Below are 27844 nucleotides of genomic sequence, written 5' to 3'. Positions count from 1 at the left end.
CAGAAATGTCCTCTGGACATACTCAGCGGATGGTACCGCTGCAAAACACGTTTTTCAATGAGCTCATCTGTAAGGCACGATGAAACGAGGTCAAAGAAAAGCTTAGAGAGCTTCATACTCACAGTTTTAAACTCAACTGAGAAAAGATTTAAAGGAAAAAAAATCCCTGACCCAAACAAAAGCAGGGGGAAACTTAGTGTTGCCTAAAGCAACTAAAGAAAAACACCGCGTTCTCCTGGTGGCTGTTCTCTGCCGTTGCGTGTGCAGGGGATCCGTATTTTTGCCTCCAGCATGCTCATTTCTGTTTCTCAGACCCACACACCATTTTGCTGAGACAAAGCTGCAAGTGCATTTCCACCCAGCTGGGCACACTTGATAACTACACTGATGCATCAGAACTATAAATGTCACCCCCGTCATCTCCTTGTACCCTCTGATAACTTTACTCTTTAAAAACTTGTTAACATCCTTTTTCCAGCCTTACATTTGACATAATCAAAGTCATGTACATGAACTCCCCTCTCTCTCTCTGAAAAACCCCTACGTTTCCTCAAGTTCTAATTGCATTATCAAGTGTTTTGTTTGGATCATTAATTCCTTCCCAGATGATTTGCTCCTGGTAGGTTTCTAGCAAATTCTACCCATGTCTAATAAATCATCTTACAAAATGCTGCAGGTTTTTCTCCGTCATAGGGATCTAGTCCACACGCTAATTGCTGTGCCCCTGTGAAGTTTTATTCTCCTACCTCTCACTAAAAGCAACCCCTTTAGCTTCATTGTTAAAACTCTAACAATTCGACAACAAAGAAAAGATTTCAGAACTGTGCTTTGGCCAGGCCAAGTCCCCAGAGTCATTTCAAGCTTGCTGAGCTGGAATATACCCAGGGTTATTCTGTCATCTAAACAAACTTTCTCCAGGTGAACGCAGGCAAGGCATCTGTCTCTTCTGTGTCCCCTGTTGGACCTGGGAGTCAGGGAGATGAATGATCCATTGTCCTGAGGCAACACTACCATGTAACTAACCTGAGAACAAGAAAATGAAGTCAGGAAGTTTTAACTGCATAGCCATAGGGTGGGGAAGGACGGGGGCCCAGTTCCTGCTTCCAGGATGTGATAGGATTATTGGGGCTGGAGATTGTGGAGTTGTAGCTACAAAGGCTGTAAAGCATTCATAGAAGACCAGATGGGGAGTGATCTGAAATAATTCAGAAGGGTGTAAGTACCAGTCTAGTGAGGTTCCTCTTATATTAAAAATCAACATTATCTAATTTCCCAGTTTCTACAGGTAAGGAAATTGAGGTCCAGAAATGATCAGTAGTTTCTTCAGATGCAAGTATACTATTTTGTTTACTTTATCATTTGATTCCCAGCATGTATCAATGGACTCACCTATACATGAATCTTGCAGTGTTTTTAGCCCAGTTCATACTTTCCACAAACATGTTTATTTCTGTTCAGTTCTCCAAAGGTATTGTGGGCCTCCTATGTATAAGTCAGGTGTTCTGTGCGGCTAAGATAAGGTATTAACCCACCATTCTTATTTTTAAAAATGTAATCACAAAAAGCAAGGATCAATTATTATAATATGGCCATATTTTAAAGCCCTTCTGTGCCTGTGAAGTCGAGAGGGTGAGTCATTTTATTTCCCATTTTACAGGTGATAAATATCTTAGGATGTCATTATTATTCTTTTTGTGCCATTTGTAAATCACATTTATAAATCTTTGAGAAAGAAGTACACACTTAAGTTTACTTTTGATTCATATAGGTTCTAAATCTTCCCAATTTCTGTGTCTTCCACCGTAGATGTCTCCACTGTTAGTTATTCCTGCTCCTTTTCATTGGTTCTTCTTGCAAAGCCAATATTTCCAGAAATCTGCACCAATTTCTCACAGTGATTGCACATTTCAATGGAGATAGATAGCTTGGAGACAGTTTATACATTCTACTGATAAAAGTTGTCTCTGGTTGCATGGAAGGGTCTCAGCAAACTGAGAATATTTTGGCAATTCAGTAGATAGAGCCAGATTCATTATTGCACATAAGCACTCTTCAGTGGAATATTCATACATATTACAAATTAAGTTTGAGCTGATAGGGAGGGTTTCTTTTTCTCTTATAACTTAGTCAACACAGCAGAAGAGAGGCAAATATTTTCTCCTCTAGCCTAAATTTCACCAAGTTGAGCAATAATTTGCAATTAAAATACAGAATTTTGACAAAGTTTAGGACAAACATAAAGTTAGTTTTTGTGCTTTAATTCTGTATGTGAACTAGATAAGCAATGAAATGGTATTTCCCCGCACGTGCACACACAGCATAGTTCTCCAGAATAGTTCAATTGTCATAACTCAGTAGAATAAAATACGGACCACTGCTCCTCACTCTAAGAAAGCCTGAGCAGCAAGGGCTGCCCTGCTAACTGCAGGCTTCTATTCAGTTTTCCTTATGGGGAGAAGCAAGAGGGAGAAAATTATCAAAATTTGCATAATGAAAATGAAGAAAATCACCCATGATAATGCCACTTTGAACTGTTGATGTTCCTTAACTTACGATGGAGTTACATCTTAAAAGTCAAAACTAAAAATCATCCAGGTGTGGTGGCTCATGCCTGTAATCCCAGCACTTTGGGAGGCCATGGCAGGAGTTCAAGACCAGCCTGGCCAACATGGTGAAACCCCGTCTCTACTAAAAATACAAAAAAAAATTAGCTGGGCCTGATGGCGCATGCCATCAGGAGGCTGAGGCATAAGAATCGCTTGAACTCAGAAAGCAGAGGTTGTAGTGAGCCAAGATTGTACCACTGCACTCCCGCCTGGGTGATGGAGTGAGACTCTGTCTCAAAAAAAAAAAAAAAAAAAAAAAAAAAAAAAAACCAAAAAAAAACAAACAAAAAAAAAACCTAGGCAGGTTAAAGATGGATATGGTTTGGATTTTTTAATATGGTTCTAAAAACAACGTGGGACAGTTCATGTGAAGAACAGAGTTTTAAGAGCAAGTGGGTAGAGCTTCCCCCACTGGGGCTAGGGAATATGCATCCCTTTTTGCAGAGAGTTTCAGAGATACAAGATTCAGTGGCTTTTCTAGCCAGTCACAGAATAAACCATTCTTCCTTCTGCATCCAACCTTCCTGTGGGGGGAGATAAATGATTCCAGAGTCTTAGGAAGCAAAGTTTCTAGAAATAAATAATACCCCAGGTTAGGGTAAGAATAGTAGGCAGTGTCCTCAACATCCACATGTACTTGTGAGGGAAGCCCCCAAGAAGGAACAGTGACTTGCGATCCAGAGCCCATTACAGAAAGACTATGTCGGTATGGCGTGATCTAGTAGCAGAACAATTAAAATTCTCAAGAAGCCCAGGATCTATCTAAGTCCTAATTTATTTCAAGCTTTTGAAATTTAGTGTTTGCATTTGCTTTGTCTTGAGACCTCACACGTCAAGTATTTTAGCTTAACAAAGAATAATGTACTTGGAGGTAAGAGGCCAAGTTCAAGCTCCCAAACTACTATTTAGTAGCTAATAACCCTTAGGCAAGTCACTTACTTTCTGGAGCGCTTACGGTGGGAGGGCTACCCTTCCTGTCCCATGTCATCCTAATTTTTTCTAATCTCTTCTTCACACAGCAGCCAACTCCCATGATCATGTCTCTAAGGTACAAACAGAAGGAAAAACAAACAAACAAACAAAAAAAACCCTTAATCTTGTGGATTCTCCACCCTCCTCTTAAATCATCTCAAAATCAAAGTCTTTTTTTTTTTTTTTTTTGGTGATGAAAGTACCTAAAAATCTACTCTCTTGGCAAATGTCCAGTATGTGACACACTATTATTAGCCATAGTTAATACTAAAAAAATGAAAAAAGGTAACTATAACATGATGGATATGTTAATTTGCTTGACTGTAGTAATCACTTCATTACACATATGTACAGGTGTTCCTTAACTTACGATGGAGTTACATCTTAAACCCATTTTAAGTCAAAAATGCATTTAATATTTCTAACCTACTGAACATTGTAGCTTATCCTAGCCTCCCTTAAATATGTTCAGAACACTTTCATCAGCTGCAGTTGTGCAAAATCATTAAACGCAATAATAAAATTTTGAATATCTCATGTAATTTAATACTGTACTGAATGTGAAAAATAGAAGGATTATGTGGATACCGAAAGTGCAGTTTCTATTAAATATGTATCTCTTTCACTGTAAAAGTGAAAGATCATAAGTCAAACCATCATAAATTGGAGATCATCTGTATAGCAAAATATGCTGTACATCTTAAGTATAAACAATAGAAAATAAAAATATTTTTTAAAAACAAAGTCCAACCTGAAGCCTCCAAGAGTCAGCATAGCCTGCCCTTGCCCATGCTTCCAGGCTTAACGCATGATAGTCTGCACCCCACTCACGTGCACCAGCAGCCCATCAGTTGTACCAGGTTTTCTCCTACCACAGGACCTTTGCACATGCCTTTCCCTCTCCTCTCTTCCTCCCCACTTAAATCCTGCCCTTTGGATTGGTGCTCTACACCTGTTCCTCAGGGGACCTCCCTCTCCCTGCCAGGTTTTCTTTCCTTCTCTCAGTAGTGGGATTCCTAGCATCCTTCTCCTTCACCAGACTGTCAACTTCCTAGGGACAGCTTCCATTTCTAGTCTTGCCCACCACTATATTGGCAGCCCCAGGCCGTGTGCTGAGCATGGAGACATTCGCAATCATTATTTGACCAATAAACAAATGAATGAGCCATTGAATGTACAGTGCCAAGCATACTGCATGGTACGTAGAAAATAACGCGGAAGTGTTAAGCATTGCTAGAGATTCAAAGAAGCAAAAGATGATTCCTGCAATAAAGTGGCTTTAGTCTTTGAAGAGTATTTCAAATGCATGCCATACTCTTTAGTTTATCGCTGATGTAGAATTATTTTTAAATGCTGTCTAGGAAATTGGAGGCATTTGAGAAGATCTGTCATAATTTATTTAGAATGTTGATTATGGACAAGCCAACTAATGATTACTGTTATAGGAAAACAAAAGAAAAAATAGCCCATTCTATCAACATTCACTGGTAGTTTTATATTCATACTGGCACCAGGCTCTTTTAAACTGAGTTGTTTGTTTTGAACCACTAAAACCATGGTTTAATATCAACAGCATTTTCTTCCAAGGATCCTATCACAATCAATTTAATGAAAGTTTTTCCACATGGTCTGTAAACTGCAAGATGAACTAGTTGGCTATGCAGGAGCCAAAATTAATTTTGATCAAGTGATACACATCATAATTTTATTTCTTTGGATAGAAAACAAAACAAAAAAAAAGAACAAAAAAGATGCCAAACCACTCTTTGTAGGTTACACTAAAATTCTGAAACACAAATCCACAAGACCCAGGAAATTCTGTTTACAGTGAATCAACTTTAGCTTTGATTTTTCCTGGCATTCATTGGTTTGTTACCTGACTTTTGTGTTTAAGGAATTTTCATAGTCTTGTAATAAGAGGAACAAATAAAGTATAGGACATTAAGTCCAATAGCATTTTTCAAAATTTGCTTTCTAAGATTCAGGCGCTTCAAAAAATGTGTGATGTTGCTTGTTTTCTTGCTGCTCAGAGATTTCTCTGACTCTGAGACATGACTGACATTACTTTTGTCTTAACTGTACTATTTTTTTATGCCATTCCATCCCAGGGGCCTTAGACGTTGCCTATAGGACATTTGTAGGGCAAACACATTGAGACAACTTAGTAAGAAATGAATTGACAGAAGAAAATCAATTTCCGGTAGGTTAGTGAAGATCCACAACTAGTGTTTTTCTCCATCCTGCTTGTTAAACATACCATTCCCAAGGTGAGTTCCTGGGAAAGGTCAGTAGACTCAGCTGACTTGGTTCTCAGGGTAAAGCGCACGTGCCCTTGCCATGGCATGCACCATGAACGTTCTCCTTTGGCAAGTATCCTTCTCACTGGAACATCACCTTCCACCTCCGGGCCCCACCTCTCCCTCTTGTTGATGACTGCCCCTTTTCACTACACCCTCACATCTTGGCATCCTACAGTCACCGGTGAACACCTCGGCCTCCTTTGCTTTACAGCCCAGGTCAGGTAACAGCACTGCCGGCTGTGCTGCTCGGTGGTTAGAACACGCATTTCGAAGCCAGGCAGACCTGGGTCACATCCCCATTTCTACTTTCATAAGCTGCACAACTTTTAGGAAGCTGCTCAGCTTCTGAGGTGGTAGAGATAACACCACCTACCTCACCAGTGACATCCTTATTCTGAAGACGGGATGAAATCATGTGTGTGAAGCATTTATTGCACTGCCCGACACAGAACAAAAACCCATGTGTGGCGTTCAGTGTCATATCCTTGAAATGGCTCCTCCCATAGACATGACTGCAATATAAACTGCTTTTCATGGGTTTTCTTATGTGACTTATTTGGAGTATGGTTTTTACTGAAATTTGGCAGCTGGACTTTTTAGGAGCCCAAACCTAGGCTAGTATTTCCCGAAAAAGATAGCGTTTACTGAGTGTGCTATGAGCCAGGCGCTCTTCTAAGCTCTTTACAAGGAATCTTCACAACCCTGTTTATAGATGAGGCACAGGAAGAGGCTAGAAAATTTGTCTAAGTGTGACAGTTATAACAACAGCTGACATTGGGCACTGTGCCAAGAGCTTTACTTTAATTACATCATTCAGGTATCACCTATGAAGCATGTACTTAAATATTCCTCATATTCTATCGAGGGCACTGAGGCACACAGAGATGGAGTAATTTACCCAAAGTCACACATCTGATAAATGGCAGAGCACGGACTTAGACCCCCATGTGTCTCACCCTGGAGCCCCAGTGATGCCCACTCTCACCCAGTGTTACTGAGCCTTCCTCACCACTTTATCAATACATGGCACATTGATTCTGCAAATCAATGAGGATAATAAATAGCTAACCTTCACTGAGCACTTGGTATGCACTAGGCATGAACCATAACTACTTTCTATGCAGAGCCTAATTAATTCCAGCAACAACTCTGTGAGTTAGGTCCTGCTGTTAACCCATTTTACAGAGAAGAAAACTAAGGCATCAAGAGATGAATAACCTGCTCAAGATAGCACAGCTCACAAGTGCTACAGCCTACTTGAACCCCAGGCAAACAGACCCAAAGCTTTGCACCTTGACAATGGCCCTCATCAGACGTAGAACTCCTGCCTGCTCCTCTGCATCTTCATGCAGCATCCTTAAGGCTCCTCTAATTTTAAATGTAAATGACTATGGTGACACAAAATAGAAAACACCATTAAACGCTCTTTTTAACTCCGTGTGATAACAATTCCATTGATGGAGGACTCTTCCTGTCCTTTCCTCTGATGACTAGAGGCTTGAGAGTAGAAATTTTATTGTAGCCAGCCTTCTAGACTCTGATGAAAACAGTTAACAAATTCAAGTTTATTCAAGGTATTTATGAGACCAATATGAAGTTTACACCAGGGAGAGGAAATGGCATAATAAAGCGGCCTTCATAAAGGCTTCGGGCATGACGCTTGCAAAAACCTAACCACACCTTCCTCCTTCAATTTGTGGCTGTATTTGCCTTTACAGCAAGAGATAATGCCAAGGGATCATTAAATGCAATAACATTGACGTGTAAAAAAGAAGCATGTCATCTTCTATATTGTGAACTTAAAGCATGCCTCTCCCAATTCAAGGTGAAAGCCACCAGCATCTTAAATGAAATGTCTGCAGATGCGCAGATGCCCTCTGTGTCTCTCGTTTTTGTCTGCGAAACAGTGATAGTAGCTGTACTTCCCTTGTGTGAGGATTACATGAGTAAATATAGGTAGAGTGCATAGAATAGTGTCTGGCACAGAGGAAGTGTTGTACCACTGTTGGGTTTATCATGATTAAAGTGTCAAAAGCTCCAGCATTTTATTTGAAGTATTCCGGACACTCATATATAAAAAGGTGAGCAACGAAGCACGGAGTGGCTGATAGCGACTTTCATGGACTGTTCAACCAGGAAGTGCTCTGGGAGACACCGTTTTCAAGCCCTTTTGCTATAGAGGGAGCTGAGTCACCCAGCAGCCCCTTCTATGTGTCCAGGGCTGAAATGCAGGAGTCTGGAGGCCAGATCATCACCTGCTGCCACTATGGTGGACTCCCGACCTAGTGAAAGCCAGAAGCAGGACCACCACCAGCCCATACGAGCACTTCTGCGTGATTTAGAGGAAGGCTTCTCTTCCTCTGGATGGACACGGCCTCTAGCCCACTGCCCTACTTGCCACCTTGCCTTTGCTCACACCTCAGCCTACACATCCCTAAGCAGGGGTACTACAGAGAAGTTCTAAAACAGAGACAGACAGAGAAATCAGTTATCCAAGAAAAGCCACTTTGCATGTTGTGATTTTCTGTGAGGTCTATAAACTTGTTATTTCTTGTCTCTTTCCTCTCTGTCATTTTTCACTTGAAATGGCCCCACCTTGTCACTTGCAGTGCAGAAACCAGAGACAGCAGGAGAGCTTGGCCAGAGCCACTTGGTTATTTTGCAAACACTCCAAGACCTTCTGGACCTCATTTTTTCATTCTCGACAAAGCAGAGGATACTGTCCTTGATACTATTTTTATCCTATCAAGAAATGGTCTAGAATAAGCTTAAGAGCAAAACCACTTCTCACTGAATACTTGTGTACTTTTTACTGGAGAAGACCCTCAAGTTGCAAAGAACTTAGGAGATGTAGAAGATAGGGAGATTTGGCTGTAGAAACAGCTTGTTGCCAAGTACTTGCCATTGGCTTTCCTATAATATCTGGAGCTACTGCTTCAAATTATCACCTGTAAGGTGATGCAAAAATGTACATGTTAATTTTTCGATTCATACTGGTTCAGATATACTGTAGCTTAATGGACATTTGGATGCCATTGCTTGAAATGAGATTTCATGTGATGATACCAAGGTTTCCAAAGGAGATACTAAGGTGGGATTGGTATCTGAAAAGAAAGTATTTTATAAAAGTAAGTACATGTATGTTTTTAACCTCTAAGACTCATCTGTTTTACTAATCAGAGGCTGGTAGCCAGATGTATTCTACATTTAGGAAAACAGTAAAGAATTTTAAAATGTGAGACACATCAGTTAGACACAAAGACGACTTTTCTAACAAGAAAATTACCCAAGCTATAAATTTATCTGTGCAGGATGCTTGAAATGGAGTAAGGAGGGGATCTGATGGTTGTAAAAATACCAAATCTAGGGAAATAACATCAGGATGCATTTAGAAAATACCATGGACAAACTGCTGAGGTCCCAACTAGAACCCAACACATCCATACATAGAAACTGACAGCTGTGGCAGTGCCATCTACAGATCTCCATCTCTGAAGTAGACGTACTTTCCTCAGAAACACGTTAATTTGAACACCATTCATTCCTGAAACTCACATTTCTTCTTAACTGCCATAATACCTGCATTTTAGATAAGTTGCCTTCCCTTCTCCAAGCCCTAGAGGAGACTATAAATTTGAAATAAATTAAGACAGACAGGAGTTGCCTAAATGAAAAAAAGACTTTTTTTTATCCAACCTAAATCAGGGCTTGAAACCTTTTACTTTTCAGTATATAGTGTATTATCGTCTATTGCTTCCAGTGAATTCTATGTTTTAATTAGTTTGAAAACATAGGTGTGATATTTTACAGAATGAAATCACTCCCCCTGTATTTAATTAAATGAACCCTATAAAAGTTGGATTTTAGCCAGGGGCATAATTTATACTAGGCTGAATTTAAAATTGCATTCGTACTTTATATGAGGTCATTTGCACATGTAATAGAAATAGAGGTGACTGTGATATGCTGAACCTCAGAAAGCAAATGTCCCCCATAAATAGGTACTTAGTTTCTAATTTGGAGAGAGTATAGTATGCCTTTTCCAAATACTACATTCTAAAATATCCTGAACTGCTTACGATTAAGTTGTAGAAAACTTTGAAGGCTCTCTGGGACTCTGTGTTTTGAAAGGTGCTACTGTATGACAATAGTTTAACCCATGATATTTCTAAGTAGACCGTGAAAACCAAGCCTCTCTCTGGTTTATGGGCCCGGCTAGCATTCCATCGTGTGTAGTCTCTGAGTCACTCGATGTCTTGGTAAAACGCCACCCATAATGCATTCATCTTTCCATTTCTTAAGTGATTCCCATGTGTTGTAGCTTCATTTTTCCTCCAAGAACTTCTTTCAGTGACATTCCGTCAGCCAAGAAGGGAACTGGTCTCACTAAATAAGCTCAGTAAATTCTTGCTGAATGAGTGAATGACTGAAAGATAGACAGATGGGTCGTCAGTGAAATTTACCTCCCAAATGGAAAGCTCGCCAGCTTTGTGTTAGTTCTCAGGACCAACTGGAAAAGACAGCTACAAGTACCTCCTAGGAAGAGCAACAGCAATGTTATTCCGGCCCAAATTGAACCCGGAAGGAATGGTTCCATGCCCTCAGCATAATTGTCTGTCTTGTCTCAGGAGACCTTATGCTAAAGGATCTCTTTAAGGTCCCTTAGTGTCATGTCATATTTGCAGCAGGGATGTTTGCCTTCAGACTAACTGATTGGATTTTTGCCATAATTGCACCTAAGTCCCAGGGGACCAGCCAGAGCCTTAGGTGAATAATTTAAGCATTTAATTTATAATAAAGTTTGCAATCAGCATTTCTTGTTCCAAAACATTCCATTTACTTGGTTTTAAAGCTGCATAAACTGTTTTAAAGGCAATCTGCTCAATTGGGCAAGTTAATGATATTGAATTTGACCGGGCCAAACGTCACTGGGTGCATCCCGTCTATAATCACAGCCATCATCACCACTGTTTTGTGTAATGTAGATGCAATGCTAATCCTGAGAATAAAAGTTGTCATTCTCGGTTGGCTGACGGCGTGCACCGGAGTCATCATCTCGCTAAGAGTCTCAGTGATGTGATTCCAAGATGACAGTGTAATAAGTGTTATGTGCACAAGGTAATTCAAAACAAATTTGGCTGCAAAAATGGATCGTCTAGGATAGTAAACTCCCGCCTTGTCTCATCATCTTTTAAGAGAATGTAATGATCCCTAAAATACCTTGTCAAGAAGCTCATGTGGCAGGGGTCAAGTCCTGTAAAATTTTTCTGTTGCACCCCCCCCCCTCCTCCAAGAATCCCAACTCGAGGGCTGAAAATATCCATGTGCATATTGGTACCCCAGCAACACACAAGATGGGCAGGGAGCTTCTGGGAAGTCAAGAAGCCTTACGGCATACAAATGTCTCTTAAGAACACCTCACTAGGCTGGGTTTTGCTTCTTTGATTTATAGATTGTTTCCTCCTGGGAAAATGTGTCTCTTCTACTACAGGATCCCCACGAGCACTGGAGTCTTAGTAAATTCTTATTATTGGCATTTAGGCATTACCAGTAAGTTATCTCATCTAAACTTTATATTACCCTAAAAAGCATGATGCTATATTTATTTTGCAGATGAGAAAACTGGAACTGAGAACAGTTAAATTGCCCAAAGCCCACAGCCAGGATTCCAACGCTGGCTTCATCCCACAATTGCTGTCCCTGCACACTCCACCTCTGAGCTGTGAAAAAGGAGGAGGTCATCTGGCTTGTGGAGGGGCTTATTTGAACTGTATTTGATTGAAAACTGCATGGGCTACTAAAATTGTTTTCTTGGGCACAGTTGTCAGAAATGCGTTTCTGTGGAACCCAGCTGTAGGCAGGGGGGACATTCTTGTGTGGGATGACAGGGCATTTCTCAGTCACCCCAAAGTCCCAGTTCTCCCTTTGGGGTTGCTACTGCTCTTCCCTCTGTAACCTGGGCAGTATGGATGCTGTTGTATCAATGCCGTGTAACAGTACCCAAAGCTGGACAGATTCAGAACAGCTTTCCTGCTTTTTGTAATTGAGTATGCCTCAACACAGAGGAGCTCTTTGTAGCCAAGAATGCTTTTAGCTTTAGACTGATCCAAGCGGGTCCTTCATGCATCATTTTCTTGGTACCATTTAAACATCCACTCAATGGTACTAGCATTTGGTTTATAAAAATGTATCCAAGTAAAGCAATAGTTGCCATCACCTTGCTATAAAAATGAACTAAGATGTAATCCTAATCAGAGAAGGATTTTCACTAATTATTTTACCCACATAGAAGAATGTCTCTAGGAATGAATGAGAAAACATTTGTGCCTAATTTTACAATATATCTATGTGATATTTACACTTTTTAGGATGTTTTGGACTGTAGGTAGTTAATATCCAAGTCAAATGACCTAAAGTATAAGGAATGTATTATTGAATATAACAAGAATTTTGGGGATAAGACGTTCTAAACTTGGTTAATTCACTTATTCAGTGATATTATTAGGACCACAATTCTCTCATTTTTCTACTCTGCCATCCTCAGTGTGTTAAGCTGGCCTCTGAGGCCAGCTCCCCACATGGTCCCAAGATGCTGCCACAAGTCCAAGAAAGCATGCAGATGACTTGTCTAGAGGCAAAAAATGGCCCTTTCCTATCTCATGTCCTAGTTTAGTCCTAGTTTAAGGATGGACAAAACCTCAGAGCTCCCTAGCAGCTCTCTCATCCCATCCAACCAGCCAGAATTATACTGTATACCCATGTCTAAATCCATCACGAGGCAAAAGGACCAAGACCACCATGATAGGCGGGAGCCCATCACAATCCACACCTCAAATCTCCCCCAGAGGGAAAGATATAGGATCTGGTAGAAAGGTAACAAAGAGTTCTTTTAGCAGAGAGGGAGCATTGGGGTGAGGATGGGTGCGTGCTGCCCAGGCAGCTGACATTGCCTGCTCTAGTGTTTGTAAGAATTATGTGTCTCTAAAAAGTGTAAACTCATAGGTTCCTTTCTGGACACAACTAGAAGATGCCTGGATTCTAATTCCCCATCCTCTCCTCACCTAGCTTAGTGTTCCTCTTAAGAAGAACAGGAAGTCATAAAGGAAAAATATGCCATAGTAAGAAAATCCCATTCTTATTCCTTTTTGGCAAAAGGCCTGGTATTTGTATACTGTTAAATAGAAGAAGAACAAATTTGACACATCTTGTAGCACCCACTCGAAAATCCTAATATCTGAATTCATTGTGGGTATAACTAACGTTGGTGCAAGCCATTCCCAGGGAATACCAAGGGCAGAAGACCAGCGTGACTGGGTGGTATTGACCACAGCCACACCTCCTAAGGGTGCTATATGTTGCATTAATTTATTCTCAGCAACAAATTTGCTGTAGCATTGTAAATTCCTGTATTATGTGACTCTTGGTGTCACACATTTAATGAAAGATATGGCTCAAATAGTCCGGCCCCAGCATGAATTCCACAGCACCCCAAGTTGTTTTTCATCCCCATCTACACCCCATTCCTTCCCATGCCAAGCCCTCAGCATTCTAGGGTCTAAGCAGGGAAGCACTTACCAAGGTCACTTGGGATAGAAAGCTAGAAAGAATTCTTTCTTGTCCTTTCATTCTTTTCTCAAAGGGAGAAACATGGCAACAGTCGTAGTGTTAAACCCTGCTTTCCAAGTCCTCCAGGATGGGGAATTTAAAAGTTTGGTGGTTCAGACAGTTCCTTATTTACTGGTGCACTCAAGTCATTTTGTGACCCAGAGTTCTTTTCTGCCGAACTCCCTCGTGATGTAAATAAATTACTTAAGTGGATTGAATCCAAATCATTAATAACCTCCACTGGCATGATTCATTTGGGCTTCATTACAAGGAAAGAATTCAACATCTATTTCTCAACCCAACAGTTGTTTACAACGCACTTCAGCCTAAGAGTTGTTGTCCCTACAGGGCCAGAGTGAAAGGGTTTGGGGGAAAAAAAGAGAAAAACAGCTTTACAACCAATACTTATGTTCTGCCTGGACATAGGGAAACTGAAGTGCTCTGAGGATAGACCTAATTGTCAGCATGCTTTGAAGTCCAAGATACTAAGGGAGGAAAATGTATATATGCCAAATAGGAAAAGGCTGTGGTTCAGTGTTCATTTTGACATTTATAAATACATGCTAAAAACATGCACATTGCAAGAGTGGACTATTAATCTAAGAGATTTAAACTCAGGAATTGCTATGAGGAGTGACTTGAATGGGTCAGTGTTCTCCAGAAAAACTTTGAGAAGCTGAGCAACTTCTGCAGCCATGTGTCCTATGGAATATGATTCCTATACCATCATTTTACATTTGCTTTTTAAAAACCAACCAAACCACTTGAGGAATACTATAATATTAAAATATTGTGGAGCCTGATACATTTTATGCAGTCCAATCATAAGATGTTACCAGACTTTCTGCATATAACCACCTGAACATAGTTCCTTTGTTTTATGGGGGAAGGGAAAAGAGAGGATAAATTAAATCACTGGACTTCCATCTAACTTGGAACGACTTTGATTTTTAGAAATAAGACTCTGATTTCTATTTCATCTTATGTCAGCTGTTCTAAAGATAGCTGGGTTGAGTGAGTTTTGATTGTACCATTTGGGAGAATCCTGGACACCGCGTCCAACGTTCTGACCCAGCATAAACTAGTAAGGTCCTCTCATGAGGTTTGAGGCTCTAGGGAGGGAGATGATCTTACTTTCAGTCCTGCCAACTTCACAGGACTATGATGAGAGAACTGTTGAGAGGTATCTTCATTTAAGTCATGCAGCAGACAGTAGTCACTCAATAAGTGCAGGCTTTGAGGATGCAGTAATAGCAAAGCACTGCACACAGTGGGAACCAAAACAGCAATTAAGCCAGCGGTCACTTCCCCCAAACGCTGGCCATTTGAATTCCTTCTCCATAATAACTTGCCATATGCCGCTATGGCCTGAACTGTCATTTACTTAATATTTTCAATGGACTTTTTAAAGAGCGAAAGGATTATTAAGAGGAAACTTCATATTACTTCCATGAAGGGAAGACTGGTATCATCTGACACAAACTGGAAAAATACACACTATTAAAACATAACAATGTAATGAATTTCTAGTTAGCTATTATTGCCTGATAAAGGCTCGGAGCCTGAGGCTGGCCTTTTCTTTCACAGGCAAGATTAGCAAGTGATGAAATTGTGTTAAAGACATTCCACGGGGAAGCTAAGCCTTCCCGCTGTGAGATTTATTATTGCATGCCAGATCTGAATACCTCCAAACTCACTCTCTTTCCACCAGGCATTCTTCGGGAAACCTAAACACAGAGAACTGAAGTTCTCTGACACCACCACCTGCTTCTTTCTTTTAGCTGCTTACACATGAAAGCAGGCAATTCATGTATTTGTCCTTCCGTTTTCTGCTTTATTCTAACCTTGTCCCACCCTAAATATTTTTCCACAGGTCAACGGCAGAGACTTATCCAGAGCAACTCATGACCAGGCTGTGGAAGCTTTCAAGACAGCCAAGGAGCCCATAGTGGTGCAGGTGTTGAGAAGAACACCAAGGACCAAAATGTTCACGCCTCCATCAGAGTCTCAGCTGGTGGACACGGGAACCCAAACCGACATCACCTTTGAACATATCATGGCCCTCACTAAGATGTCCTCTCCCAGCCCACCCGTGCTGGATCCCTATCTCTTGCCAGAGGAGTAAGTAACCTAATCTTGAACCCCTAATGCATTAAGAAGTATTTCCAAGTTGGTTTCTTTCTCTTCTATGTGGTGAAAAAAATTAATGCACCCTATAGTTTTCCTCCAAGTTGCCCATGTTTAACTTTATTGTTTATAGAGGCAATAAATCGAATCCTGCTCAAAACCGCTCCGACATATTAATTACTTTATTATAACCCTGGAGCGGACTTATTCAAATTATATCCTAAGAACAGAATTACTTACAAATGTTGTAAAAGTTGTTTCAGAATAAAATGTAATCACCCCAAATGGTAATTTGAAGATCCTGCAGTTATTACTAGGGAATGTTGATCATTCTTTTAAATAGACAAAAAAGTAAGTTGTGTGTGTCAAGAGAGCCCTGGAGGTTGTGCCTTCTGCTTTCTTGGGTCTCATTTCAAGCCTGGATCCATGTAATAAGCCCGCACATGCCTCATCTAAGTACTGCATCAACCAATTAAATAACAGCTGCAACTCAGCACGCCACATGGATTTCTTTACACACACCTCTTCTCTCAACTTATTTCTGCCAGCGATAAAGAGTCCTTCAGAGGCTTCAAGTCAGACAAACCTGATGCTCAAAGTGATTTCTAGTTGTGGAACTTGGGTAACTTACTTTGTTTTGTGGGGCTGTATTTTTCCTATATTAAAATGGAGATAACAGTATCAATCTCTTATCATTGAAGGATTAAATGAAACAATATGTGGGAAGTGCTCATGGGGCATATGGTAAGCACTCAGTAAATGGTACCAGCGATCACCGTTAATTTAGTGGGTGATGTAAAATATTCAGGAAAAAATGAAGAGCAAGACACTTTCTGTGATAGACTGCTGGCCCCCAAGGTGTCCAGTTCGACATAGCTTTTAACATAGCTTTTCAAGGCCAGGCGTGGTGGCTCACACCTGTAATCCCAGCACTTCGGGAGGCCGAGGCAGGTGGATCACAAGTTCAGGAGATTGAGACCATCCTGGTTAACACGGTGAAACCCCGTCTCTACTAAAAATACAAAAAACAATTAGCCAGGTGTGGTGGCGGTCACCTGTAGTCCCAGCTACTCGGGAGGCTGAGGCAGGAGAATGGCGTGAACCCGGGAGGCGGAGCTTGCAGTGAGCCGAGATCATGCCACTGCACTCCAGCCTGGGCAACAGAGCGAGACTCCGTCTCAAAAAAAAAAAAAAAAAAAAGCTTTTCATGTGTGACTTTGCACATCTGAGGACACAGCCTCTCCAGCTGATGTTAGGGTCGCCCCTGTGTTTTCTCATCTCAGCTCCATCTCGGATCAGATCATTGACTTGATACATTATTTCAAAGGGCATTTTCACCTCTTACAGGAGAATCCACTGGGTAATACCTGTTGGATTCCTACTAGTAACTCAGTAGCTGGAGTGAGCACATGTTTCCTATGGTTCAGTCAAGTTCTGGATAAAGGCTTGCCCTTCATCCCTTGGTCTTAGTGGCTAGCTGTCATTGGAACCCAGGACTAATTCCCCAGGCTTGACAGAGTAGGTTTGGCAGCAGCTGGTAGCATAAAGACAGAGGACAGGGCATCCGTCTCACATTCACTCACAGTGTGCACATGTGCAAAGAACTATTATCTATCTCCTTCATTTCTCATGACTGTCCCTTTATACAGATGAGGAACTGCAGACTCACCAGGTTCCACTGAGCTGATGGAAAGGCAGGTCAGTCAGACCCCGACTCCCAGCTCTGAACCACAGTACCCTGTAGTGACCCATTCCATCCTCTGGAACAACTGGCTGATTCACTGAGTATGATGATCCAGACCATTTATCTGACGTTACAGACCAAACTGCCTCACATTATTGATGAAGCCTTTAAGGCTACTTCTGACTCTTAAATGTTGACCTGTCACAGTGATGGGCCTTTTAGAAGCTAAACCTGTAATTTCCTCTTAGGTCTAGTTAACATGACATGACTTATCCCCTGGGGGCGACTTGAGAAATGTCAGAAGAGTCCAGAGGTCAGGCCTCTTCAGGTTCTGGCTGCAAGGTCAGACAACAGCAAGAGCGTGTGTCGGGACTGAATGGGGAATGTTAAGTTGATGCTTGAAAGCCCAGACCTTCCAACAGTATCCTCAGTACTAAAAGCCCTTTAAGTGCAGGCAGTATATTTGCCTGATGGGTCCAGAAAATTGAAAGCCAGCCCTTGTTTGAATGGCCACTCATGTCTGATCTGTTGTTTCAAAACTAAGTGCCTGGGAGGGAAGACTAGAGCCCATTGATTGCTGTGCTGACCTTTGAGGACGTGAAGGTTTGGGTCCCCAGCCAACAATCAGAGGCTGAAGCTTTGCATCTGGCACCGTGGACTGTTAAGCTCCTTTCAAAGCTGCTGATGGAGTATGTTATGATTCCCACTGCCTTGGCTCCTTGAGGTTGCATTAATGACGTTTCCAAAGATGTCGTGAGTTCTGTGGACTGTGTTTTGCATATGTTGTCCTAGGGAAACATAAGCTTCCAGTCTCCTAGCAGAGTGAATGTGTGTGTACTCATTATATGTAAACATATACACACAGATGCACTTATGCCTACATGTTTGTATGTGCATTTCAACCATGTAAGTGCATACTGTACGTTTGTGATATCAAACATATTATTGTGGGTAACATTCAAAAAGACACGGTCCTAGGTAACAGCAGAACAGTTTCATTCTCAGCCTTTTGAACTGATCTCAGAGGCCAGCACATATCTTAGACTGTTGCCTGGGCTCGAGCCTAGTTCTCTGCAGAGATAAAATCTAACAATGAAGCAATAAGCAGTAAAATATTGTCCTGTTTCCTGCGTAGAGATGGAGTTAGAAATCAGTCACGCTGAATCACGTGACTGGCAGGCTCCGGGATGGGCTCTGCAAACAACAAAGCCCATCAGGCTTGCACTTTGCATCTTAAGTCCTTCAGGAGGAAATGTACTAAAGGCAAATGGTAAAATTAGGATGATGGAGGTCCTGACCGTGCTGAGAGCCCCATCCAGAGGGAAGTGAGTCATGAAAGGGCCCACACCCTGGGAATTGCTACTGTGCCACTGGCCTGACAATGGGTGTAAGAAAAACAGATACTGACAACGGAAGAAGGGCTGTAAAGATGTTGCATCTCTTTTCAGGCATCCCTCAGCCCATGAATACTACGATCCAAATGACTACATTGGAGACATCCATCAGGAGATGGACAGGGAGGAGCTGGAGCTGGAGGTATGAAGAACATCCTTGTCTCATTTTAGGAGTCATTATTAAGAACACAGAATGCCTAATAAGTTCTCTATAAGCATAAATTAGTTTACGGATGCCGATGGAAAGTAACAAAAGCAGAACCACTTTTACTGATGCCCTTTGAAAGGCACAACTGAGATTCTTCTTCCTTCCTTGGAAACAGAGCTTAATAATCAAGTCCCAAAAGCAGAAATGTAAACTTTTTTTAATTTGAATCACTTAAAAGTTAGGACAGTAAATCCTGTTGTCAACCTTTGAATCCACATAATCCATACATTCTTGTAACTAACATAAGCCTCCTCACCTTCCTCCCTTTTATGTCATCACCACTCTTTACTCAAAGGCAGATGGCTCAAGAGTAGGTGGATAAATTACTTGAGTGAATGCTAGCCCGCCCTAACAAAAGGGTTTGTTCACTGCTTCACTTGCTTCAAGTTTGCTAACATTGATACAGAAGAAATTAAACAAGTCTGCAACTCTTCTTAAGTGTTATTTGAGGCCACACAGGAATAAAGATTCAAGATGCTACATAATGTCAAATAGGTCTCTGTTAAGGTTTAAAATATTTAGAGGACACCAGGTTGCCAACAGAGTTCTACTTCCCATTTTCCTTTTATTAAGGGTGATAGAAAATACAGAAAACACTAACTTGTATAATATATTTATATTTTGGGGAAAACACTTTTATATTTCAATGGGGTTTCAAAAAATATAACAGCATTTTTGAAAGCTGATTTTATGGAATAAGGTAAAAAGACACCTGATGTTGACAGGTAAGCCCTTGGGTACCATCAAAAGGTCACCCAGGAAAAATCGAACATTTTATCCAATTTCATGGCTAACTGTTGTGTAATCTATGCTGTCCTACCAATACTTCTGAAGTTGAATTGTTCAGTGGCAGTAGGTTCTGTGCAAGGACAGAAGCAGTCAAATAGTAGAAAACAGCTATGTTCCTCAACTTAAAGTTACCAAGAGTTCTCATTCCAAGACAGAAGTTAAAAATCAATAATTGTGTGCAAACGATGACTTCACTGATGGTTAGCCAGATACAGTCAAATCAAAGGACTTGTTGCCAGTGGCATGACTGACTCTGTGCCAGTTTTCAGAAATTTAAAATTTTCCCTAAATGCACCTGGTCTAAACAGCAATGGCCAGTATTCTCACTATAAAAACTTGACTGTTTCTGCTTGCTGTCAGCCACTTACCAAAGCGCTTGCCATTTAACAATTGTTCCAGAAAATGTAGTTTTGTCATTTTCAAAAATCAGGATTCTGCCTCTTATTTAGTGTCCTATCACCCCAGCTTCAGGGCTGTTTGGTGAAGCAGCCGTGACTCCTTCAGGACACTTGTTCCTTAATTTGTTATGTATGTTCCTTCCAAAGGGGGTTCATAATGAAATACATTTGGGAAATGCCAGACTGAAGACAACGAAACAGATTTCTTGGAGGACTTCTGAGAATCTTGACTATCTACCTAGAATCCCCTGGGGGAGTGGGCAGAATTTCCCCCACCTCTCTGGCCAAGTACCTGTTTATATTTCCTCAGTCTACAGTTCTCTGGAACACTGTTGGAGAAACACTGCTCTCCAAACAGAGGGCTATTTCGTAATCTTTATGGGACGACACTGCTTTTTGATGATGTAATTGTGGCAAAGTAGAGTTCTTTTAAAAAGCTGTAAAGTGTTTCAGAAGCTAGAGTTATGAAGTAGTAGAGACTTTGTAGTCTTTGGTATTTAGTTAAACTTGACTTTGTAGCAGTGGGTTCTTTAGTTCTTTTTTTAGTTTCTAATACCTTTGAGAATCTGATGGAACCTACAGCCCCCCGCTCTGGAAAAATGCTCCTGTCTGTGAGAGCTTGCATATGGTTTCAGGAGATTCACTGAGCCCCCACAGTATCTGCCCAATTTGGGCCATTCTGCCTTACAGTTTTTCCTTATACCTGACTATCACCAGAACTCTTACGTGCTTTCTATTTCTCTTTAATTCGACTCAACTTATTTAAACTACGGTAATTTTATTTTAAAGGAAACACTATACCACTGCGTCAAGCAGAAAGTCAGCATCCATTGCCTTAAATAGAAAATCCCATACAATTAAATACAGTGGACACAAGCCAGTGTTATTTATTAAATCCTGGTGCTCAATAAGGGTGCCTGCTGAGGGTTGGGAGCCTGGGGCCACTACATCCTGCCTTTTCTCTAAGGAGATTAGCTAGTATTAAAGAAGTGTTAAGACTAGCCCAGACTGAGTCTTTCTCCTCAAAGCATGAAGCACCTGAGAGCATCCTGCTTTCAGCAGGAGGGAGCCACTCAGAAACTGTTCCCTAGAACCCTGTTGTTCAAAGTGTGGTAGGAGGACCAGCAGCCTGGCTGGTCAAAGTAGAGTTCTCACCTAGGAGATGTGGGAACTACAGAAACTTGGCCCCCTAGATCTTCAGAATCAGAATCTGCACTTTAACAAGGTTCCTAGGTACCTCGGTGCCCATTAAAGCCAGAGGACCCCTGACCTACAGGCCACAGACCCAGATAAAGCAGCCCAAGCTATCATTTCCTCTTGTTCTCTTGAGTCACACCAGCGAGGCTTTTGTGGTGCCTTTCATTCACTGCAGTGTCGAGATGTGCCGCCAAGTCACGAATATTGTCCACACTGTCCCTGCAGTGTAACATTATCAGGGCCTAGGAACGACTGAGCCCCTCGTAGGCATGTGACACTGTGTTCCTAAGACTGCTTCTCTCTTTTCATGAATAAAAGCAGACACAACGCAGGTGTTTAGAAAACTAGTCTGGTATTAATATTTTAAGCTAGACCTTGGATGCCATCAGACTTTATATTCGTGTTTATTTTCAATTCTGTTCATTTTATTGTCTCTTACATTAAATATACTGTTTGGCCCTAGAAATGCAAAATCACGAAGTCACCACTCTGCCTGCCCTTAAGGAGCTCACAAGCCATTAGGACCATTAGACATTAGCTTTTCGTTTCTTCTTAAACAACCAGAATAAGGGCATTCTCCATCTCTAGCCCCTTTGAATGGTTACCCTAGAGTACTCTGAGTCCATAGCAGCCAGGAAGTCTTGCTTTAACATTTTGTCCACAGCAACTCAGATGTCACCAGGTCATTTCTCTTACCTAAGTACCTTCTCATAAAGTGAACCTGGCAGTTTTGGACAGATGTCGTCCTCAGTCCTGTGGTGGTGATGGCTCAGGCCTCCTAGGCTAGGAACATATCAGCTAAGGCCTACTGCAGCCACTCACCAGAAGGGTCTCTCCACTAGAGAACAGTAGCTGCGCCTCCAGCATTGCTCTGTTTCAGAGGTGTGTCTCTCTGGTCAGTCAGTTCAAGAAGGTTAATTAATAAACCCCGCATGCTGAGAAATGAGTTTCCTCAAGTGGGCCCAGTTTTCAGGGAGACTGGCACATGCCTGTCATCCCTGCTTCTACACGAGATTTCTTAGAACAGTCGCAGTCTGCCTTCTAGATTCCATCCTGTTTTGTTCTAACTCTTGGGTTCAATTTTAGAAAAATCAGGCTGTTATTTAAGTAAGGGGCCAATCTCAACAGACCACTTATCATCTAAATTGAATTGGACTAAAGTCAGCGCCTTCCAAAGAACAGCTAGTTCCATGGATATTATATACGAGGAAAATATGTATGAGTGTGTTGAGATATTATTAAAGCAAATGCACAGAGAAAAACAGATGGTTCTGGCCAGACGCAGTGGCTCACACCTGTAATCCCAGCTACTCGGGAGGCTGAGGCAGGAGAATTGCTTAAACCCAGGAGGCGGAGGTTGCATTGAGCCAAGATTGTGCCACCGCACTCCAGCCTGGGCAACAGAGCAAGACTCTGTCTCAAAAAAAAAAAAAGAAAGAAAAAGAAGAAAGAAATAAAAGAAAAACAGATGTTCTCCCTTTTAAAGTACACAAAATGATCATATTTAGGTAAGTGTCAAATCTCTGTTATTATGAGACTGCTTAGAGTTAAAGGGATTACACCCAGTGTACCCTAGGGTTGAGCAGACAAATAATTACCCATAAATTTTCAGGCACTGAACACCTGCTCTACATCTTCCTGTAGGCAATTAAGAAAGAAAATACATGCCCAAAGAAGGCTTTTCCTTTTGTCTATTGTTTTAATTTCCCAGGCGATTCATCAGTAGCATCCTATGTAGGCTGCGAAACTGCTGTCACCTGTATTGTATTCTCAGGATGTGTCACCTGTATTGTATTCTCAGGATGTAATTCTGAGACCAGAAAGGAAAGGAAAACTACAATTTCAATAGGAGACTAAAATGCTCTCCAAACCTGGTTTCATAGAGGAAGCTAAGTATATCAGAAGGGAACCAGGATTGACCTGGAGATTATGCAGGATGCCCCAGCCAGTCTAGAATTTTTTTCTTTAGCCTTTGAGGCACAGGACAAGGAATAGATCTAGGGAACCTTTCCTGGTCAGCCCCATCCTGGATTGAAGTGGCTTCCTCATTACTTTTCCTGTGTAATCAGGGTCTTTGCCATTTTTTGTACTATGCCTGCAAACCAGGACCTACCTCGGCCTGCGTGGCAGTGCCCCAGATCGTTACATGCCTCAATCTTTTCCCAAATGTCATCTCTCCAGAGGATCTTCCCTGGCTACTCTCTGAAGCATCCCTATGCCACCAGTACTATTATTTACTTTTTTTTTTGTTTGTTTTGAGACTGCGTCTTGCTGTCGTCCAGGCTGGAGTGCAGTGGTGCAGTCTTGGCTCACCGCAGCCGCCTAGGTTCAAGCAATTCACCTGCCTCAGCTTCCCAAGTAGCTGGGATTACAGGTATGTGCCACCATACCTGGCTAATTTTTGTATTTTTAGTAGAGACAGGGTTTCGCCTTGTCGGCCAGGCTGGTCTCAAACTCCTGACCTCAAGTGATCTGTCTGCAATGGCCTCCCAAAGTGCTGGGATTACAGGTATGAGCCACTGCACCCGGCCCATTATTTACTTCTTGTCTTTCTTCCCCACTAGAATACAAGCTCCCTAAGAGCTGGACTCTTGTCTAACTCATTTACTGTATATTCCTTTTGCCTAGACCATGTCTGGCATATAGTAGGCACCCAGGAAATATTTTTTGAATGAAGGAATAAAATGCCTTGTTACCCTATCTCAAACATAAGGTCCTTGAGGGAAAATGCAGTCTTTAAAGATATTTCTGTATCCCACATAGCACCATGACTAGATACAGAAACTGTTGAGATAACTTAAATGTGCACAGCAACCTGGACCAGTAAGTTGAAGAGTTATGCTTTAGTGGCCAGTCTTCCTGGAGGTGGATAAAGCATTGAAATTAGTCTTTGAGATCCCCTTTAATTAAGGTAGCTGATGCTGCAACAGAGAGTTTGAATCAACAAGGTGGAATGGCCCTCTTAATACTCTTCATTGGAATATCGTTTCAATTTCCTCTGAAATGTCAGGCTTAACTGTTCATTTTTATCAACAGTCCATCTAGACCAGTAAGCAACAAGATACCAGTAACAGGGGTAGCTGTAATCCAGATAATGCTACTACATTATTCATACCAGTTTGATTAATAGTCTTCTTTGAAATCTTATCTCCATCACAGACAGATAACATATTGATAACTTCTATGCTTTCAGCAATATGCTTAATTGTGTAAAACTAGATGAGAGTCACACAGAAATGCTGAGAATTTACAAACCACCCAGTAAGTTTGAGGAATTTTACTTTCCACTGAGCCCCAAAATACTGTATTTTGTTTTAAAACCACAGAATGGCTAAGTTTGTCGAAGTTCAATGACTTGCTCAAGGCAACCTCCCTCATTACAGATGGAGCCAAACTGGTTTTTCATTTGGATCATCCTGCCTTGGACTCTCAAGCTCATTCATTCAATTTTATTGAGCACCTACTGTGCACAGCATACAAATCTAGACACTGCTTTCATTGCACAATTCATCATTCAGCTACTATTGCCTTACTGTAATCTTTATAAGAAAACAAGGTAAACCATAAATCCGTACAGATCCAGAGGCAATACCAGCTCTTACACTGTTGTTTTTCAAGAGCTTCTGAAAGCCTATTATGGATCACTCTGTGCTTAACTGTCAGCAACCAGATTCTTCTCTGTGATGTTGAACCATCCCTTGAAAATTAAATGACCAAGGCTAAGTGGTATCCTGTGCCTTCTAAATGAAGCTTTTCTAGCTTTTGTTTAGAGTTCCTAAGAAGGGCCAGAGATAAGGCAAGGAAATATTATAGCCCACACCATCCTGTCTCACATCCACGTCAAGTAAATACCTAGAGTAAGCTCCAGAATACCCTTTGCTTTTTTATTATTGGAAATGTGCTTCACCAGCATTTGTTCATCCAATATCACTCATCCTTTGATAACACAGACCACTTCTAAGATAGAAAACTGCTCCTGGAGTGCTGCCCTTGAAGTAGAACACTGCCATTCTTATGTCTGTTTTAAAGATCCAGCTGAGAATGTGACTGTCCCCATGACGGTTTGTTCTGAGAGGATTTATGATGGGTGTTGAAGGCTAAACGCAGCATTGGGCTCTACGCCATTCTGCTATTGTGAGGGAGTATGTGTTCTAAAATGAACACTAACTGGGAACAGAACTATTAATTGGACCCTCTTCTCTCCCGTGCAAAAATATCAAACTGCATTTATGGAGAATCGATTACTAATTTACTAAACACAGGTGAGGTTAGTGGCAACGTATAAAAAGTGTGTAAGGAAGGAAGCGTAAGTGGTTCTTGATTCAGATGAAAATATCTTAAAGCAATAAATGTTTTGAATATCTTCTGTTGCAGCCTGAAACTTTGTTCTAAGAAAGTTTTCTCCCTGATTAAAAAAAAAAGTCATAAAGATTTGTTGGAGGAATTGACAGATTCAGAAGGAAAAATGTACAGAAAAATCATGATTAGCAACATGAACAATGTCAACTACTCTGTAGCTTAACAGTCCTCCAAATCTCTGTCAATCAAAATACTGACAAAAGATAGAACAGAAATGCTTTTCAGGTTAGGTTTTATCAAAACTGTATTCTAAAATCTCGTGATATCAGGCCACCTACATGTTTGGTAGTAGGCCAAATAAATCTAATCGTTTTCTACATAACAGAGCGTCACTATCACATTCTTTAGGAGTCTTTTTCTTGCTTGAATACAAGCAAGAAATACAAGCAAGGAACGAAAATACTCATACCTTACACCTCTCAAATGGAACACTCAAATCTAGAAGTGTATTACAGAGTTGTGCTTGTCAGACTGTACTGAAAAGCCACAAGGACCAGGTTGGCTGGTTTGTTTACTTTTCAGTCTGTCTCTAACCAATACACGGTCCTACTGTGTGTGACTGTGTAACTCACCCCATCTGCGACGCGTTCACCAACACCTGAACTGGTCTACACCTTGTCCAGTGAGACAAGTCTGCTAATCATGCCCTTGGTTATCATGACAATGTCCAGCTGCTATAGAGGTTTCTGAACACTTCCCTCAATTTCTGTGCTCACCTCGTCATGACCAGGAAGCACGCTTTGAGTAGCAGTAGTAGTAGTAGTAGTAGTAGAAAGTCCAGTAGAACTGTAGAATCTTCTGTACTTCCTTGAAAGATAGTCACCTTGGCGGCCAGCCATTCAGAAAAAGTTGCAACTTGAATTATCAACATTTCTTGTCTTTCTCATTTTTCTTCCTACAATCTTCCCACTGCTCGCTCTCTCTGCTTGGGTTGCACGTGGACCTGTTTCAGCAAGATGTGTCTCCTGCAGGGGTAGCACTGGGCGAGCTACATCTGTGCAGTTGGACCTAAACCGTCGTGATATTTCGTTGATTCACACTAACCTTGAGGAAATGTCAAAACTGAAAAAGTGTTCCCTCTTATGCATATTCAAATGAAGTGTACCCTAAGAGAGACAGGGGGATGTGTTTGAAACATAAGAGGATGATGTATGACTAGTATATTTGTGGAAACATAAGAGGATGATGTATGACTAGTATATTTGTGGTATGCAAATTGGTTATTCCAAAGTATTTGGAAACCCAAGTATTTAGGCTTGCTCTCATTGTTAAATATGACCCTTAAACCCACTTAATTATCAGAAATTAATGGGGTTTCATTTAATAAGAACTTACCATATTGCTAGAGCTATAATTAGGAAGCTGTTGAATTAATTAACATATTGGTGTTCAGAAAATAATCTTAGTAAGAGGGGCACTGAAATATACCCACTCTGCCACAAACAACTTCTTGTGACTTCAGGGAAGTAACCATACCTGCATGTAATTATTATACTACTGGTGACCGTGGACTTTCTATGGGGCAGTCAATGTGCTAAGAGCTCTTGTGTGCCTCATGTTGGTGACTCTGGGAGGCAGGATGGCAGGTACTAGTGAGGACACGGACCTTAGATATAATAACAAGCTCATGATCGAGCTGCTAGAAAGAGGGAGAGTTGGGATCTGAACATCTGTCTTTACAGTTCCAACTCTTCCCCACCACATTATACCCCATATATCAGCAAGACAGACTGCTGAAAGTCGTTAAGATCATGGCAGTCCTCACTTAAAACCTTTTGATGGGTTCCCATTATGTTGAAATAAAATCTTAGCTACTCATGCTGGCCTGTGGGCCCTGCCCGGTCTAGCTCTGCCACCTGGCCACCCTCAGCCCACTTCTCTCTTCCTTGAACATGGGGCTCTGGCCATGCTGGCCTAGGGCTTTTGCACCTGCTGTTGCTCCACCTGGGAAGTGTCCGTGGCGCCTGGCACCCGCCTTTCATCGGGGAAAGTTCAAGAAGTATCTTCCAAATAACTGCTTTGAGCTTCTCCGCATAGACAGCTGCATTCTCCTTCCCCGCTAAGAAGACCCTTGAGAGAGACCACTTGGAAATAGTCCCCAGATAAAGTGGCACGAAGACCCCATCTCAGAGCCCCTCCATTCTCCTGCTTGGTGAGCAGATAACACTAAAAATTAGACCAAAGGATCTACCGGAGAACTTATCA

The 27844-nt window shown here is 41.4% G+C and overlaps 1 protein-coding gene across 6 annotated transcripts in view; it reads left to right on the top strand.

Annotated features, from left to right (window-relative positions):
* Positions 1-27844, top strand: part of PDZRN3 (PDZ domain containing ring finger 3) — a 242511-nt gene that overhangs the window by 205190 nt on the left and 9477 nt on the right. For all 6 annotated transcript variants that reach the window (XM_017005942.3, NM_015009.3, NM_001303139.2 and 3 more), the window contains 2 exons: positions 15357-15604; positions 18743-18830. In XM_017005942.3, the coding sequence (XP_016861431.1) occupies positions 15357-15604; positions 18743-18830 (336 nt within the window). The remainder of the gene's footprint in view (positions 1-15356; positions 15605-18742; positions 18831-27844) is intronic.

Source organism: Homo sapiens, chromosome 3, assembly GCF_000001405.40.
Source record: "Homo sapiens chromosome 3, GRCh38.p14 Primary Assembly".
Lineage (NCBI taxonomy): Eukaryota > Metazoa > Chordata > Mammalia > Primates > Hominidae > Homo > Homo sapiens.
Note: the sequence above shows the minus strand (reverse complement) of the source record. Positions and strands in the feature narration are given on the sequence as shown.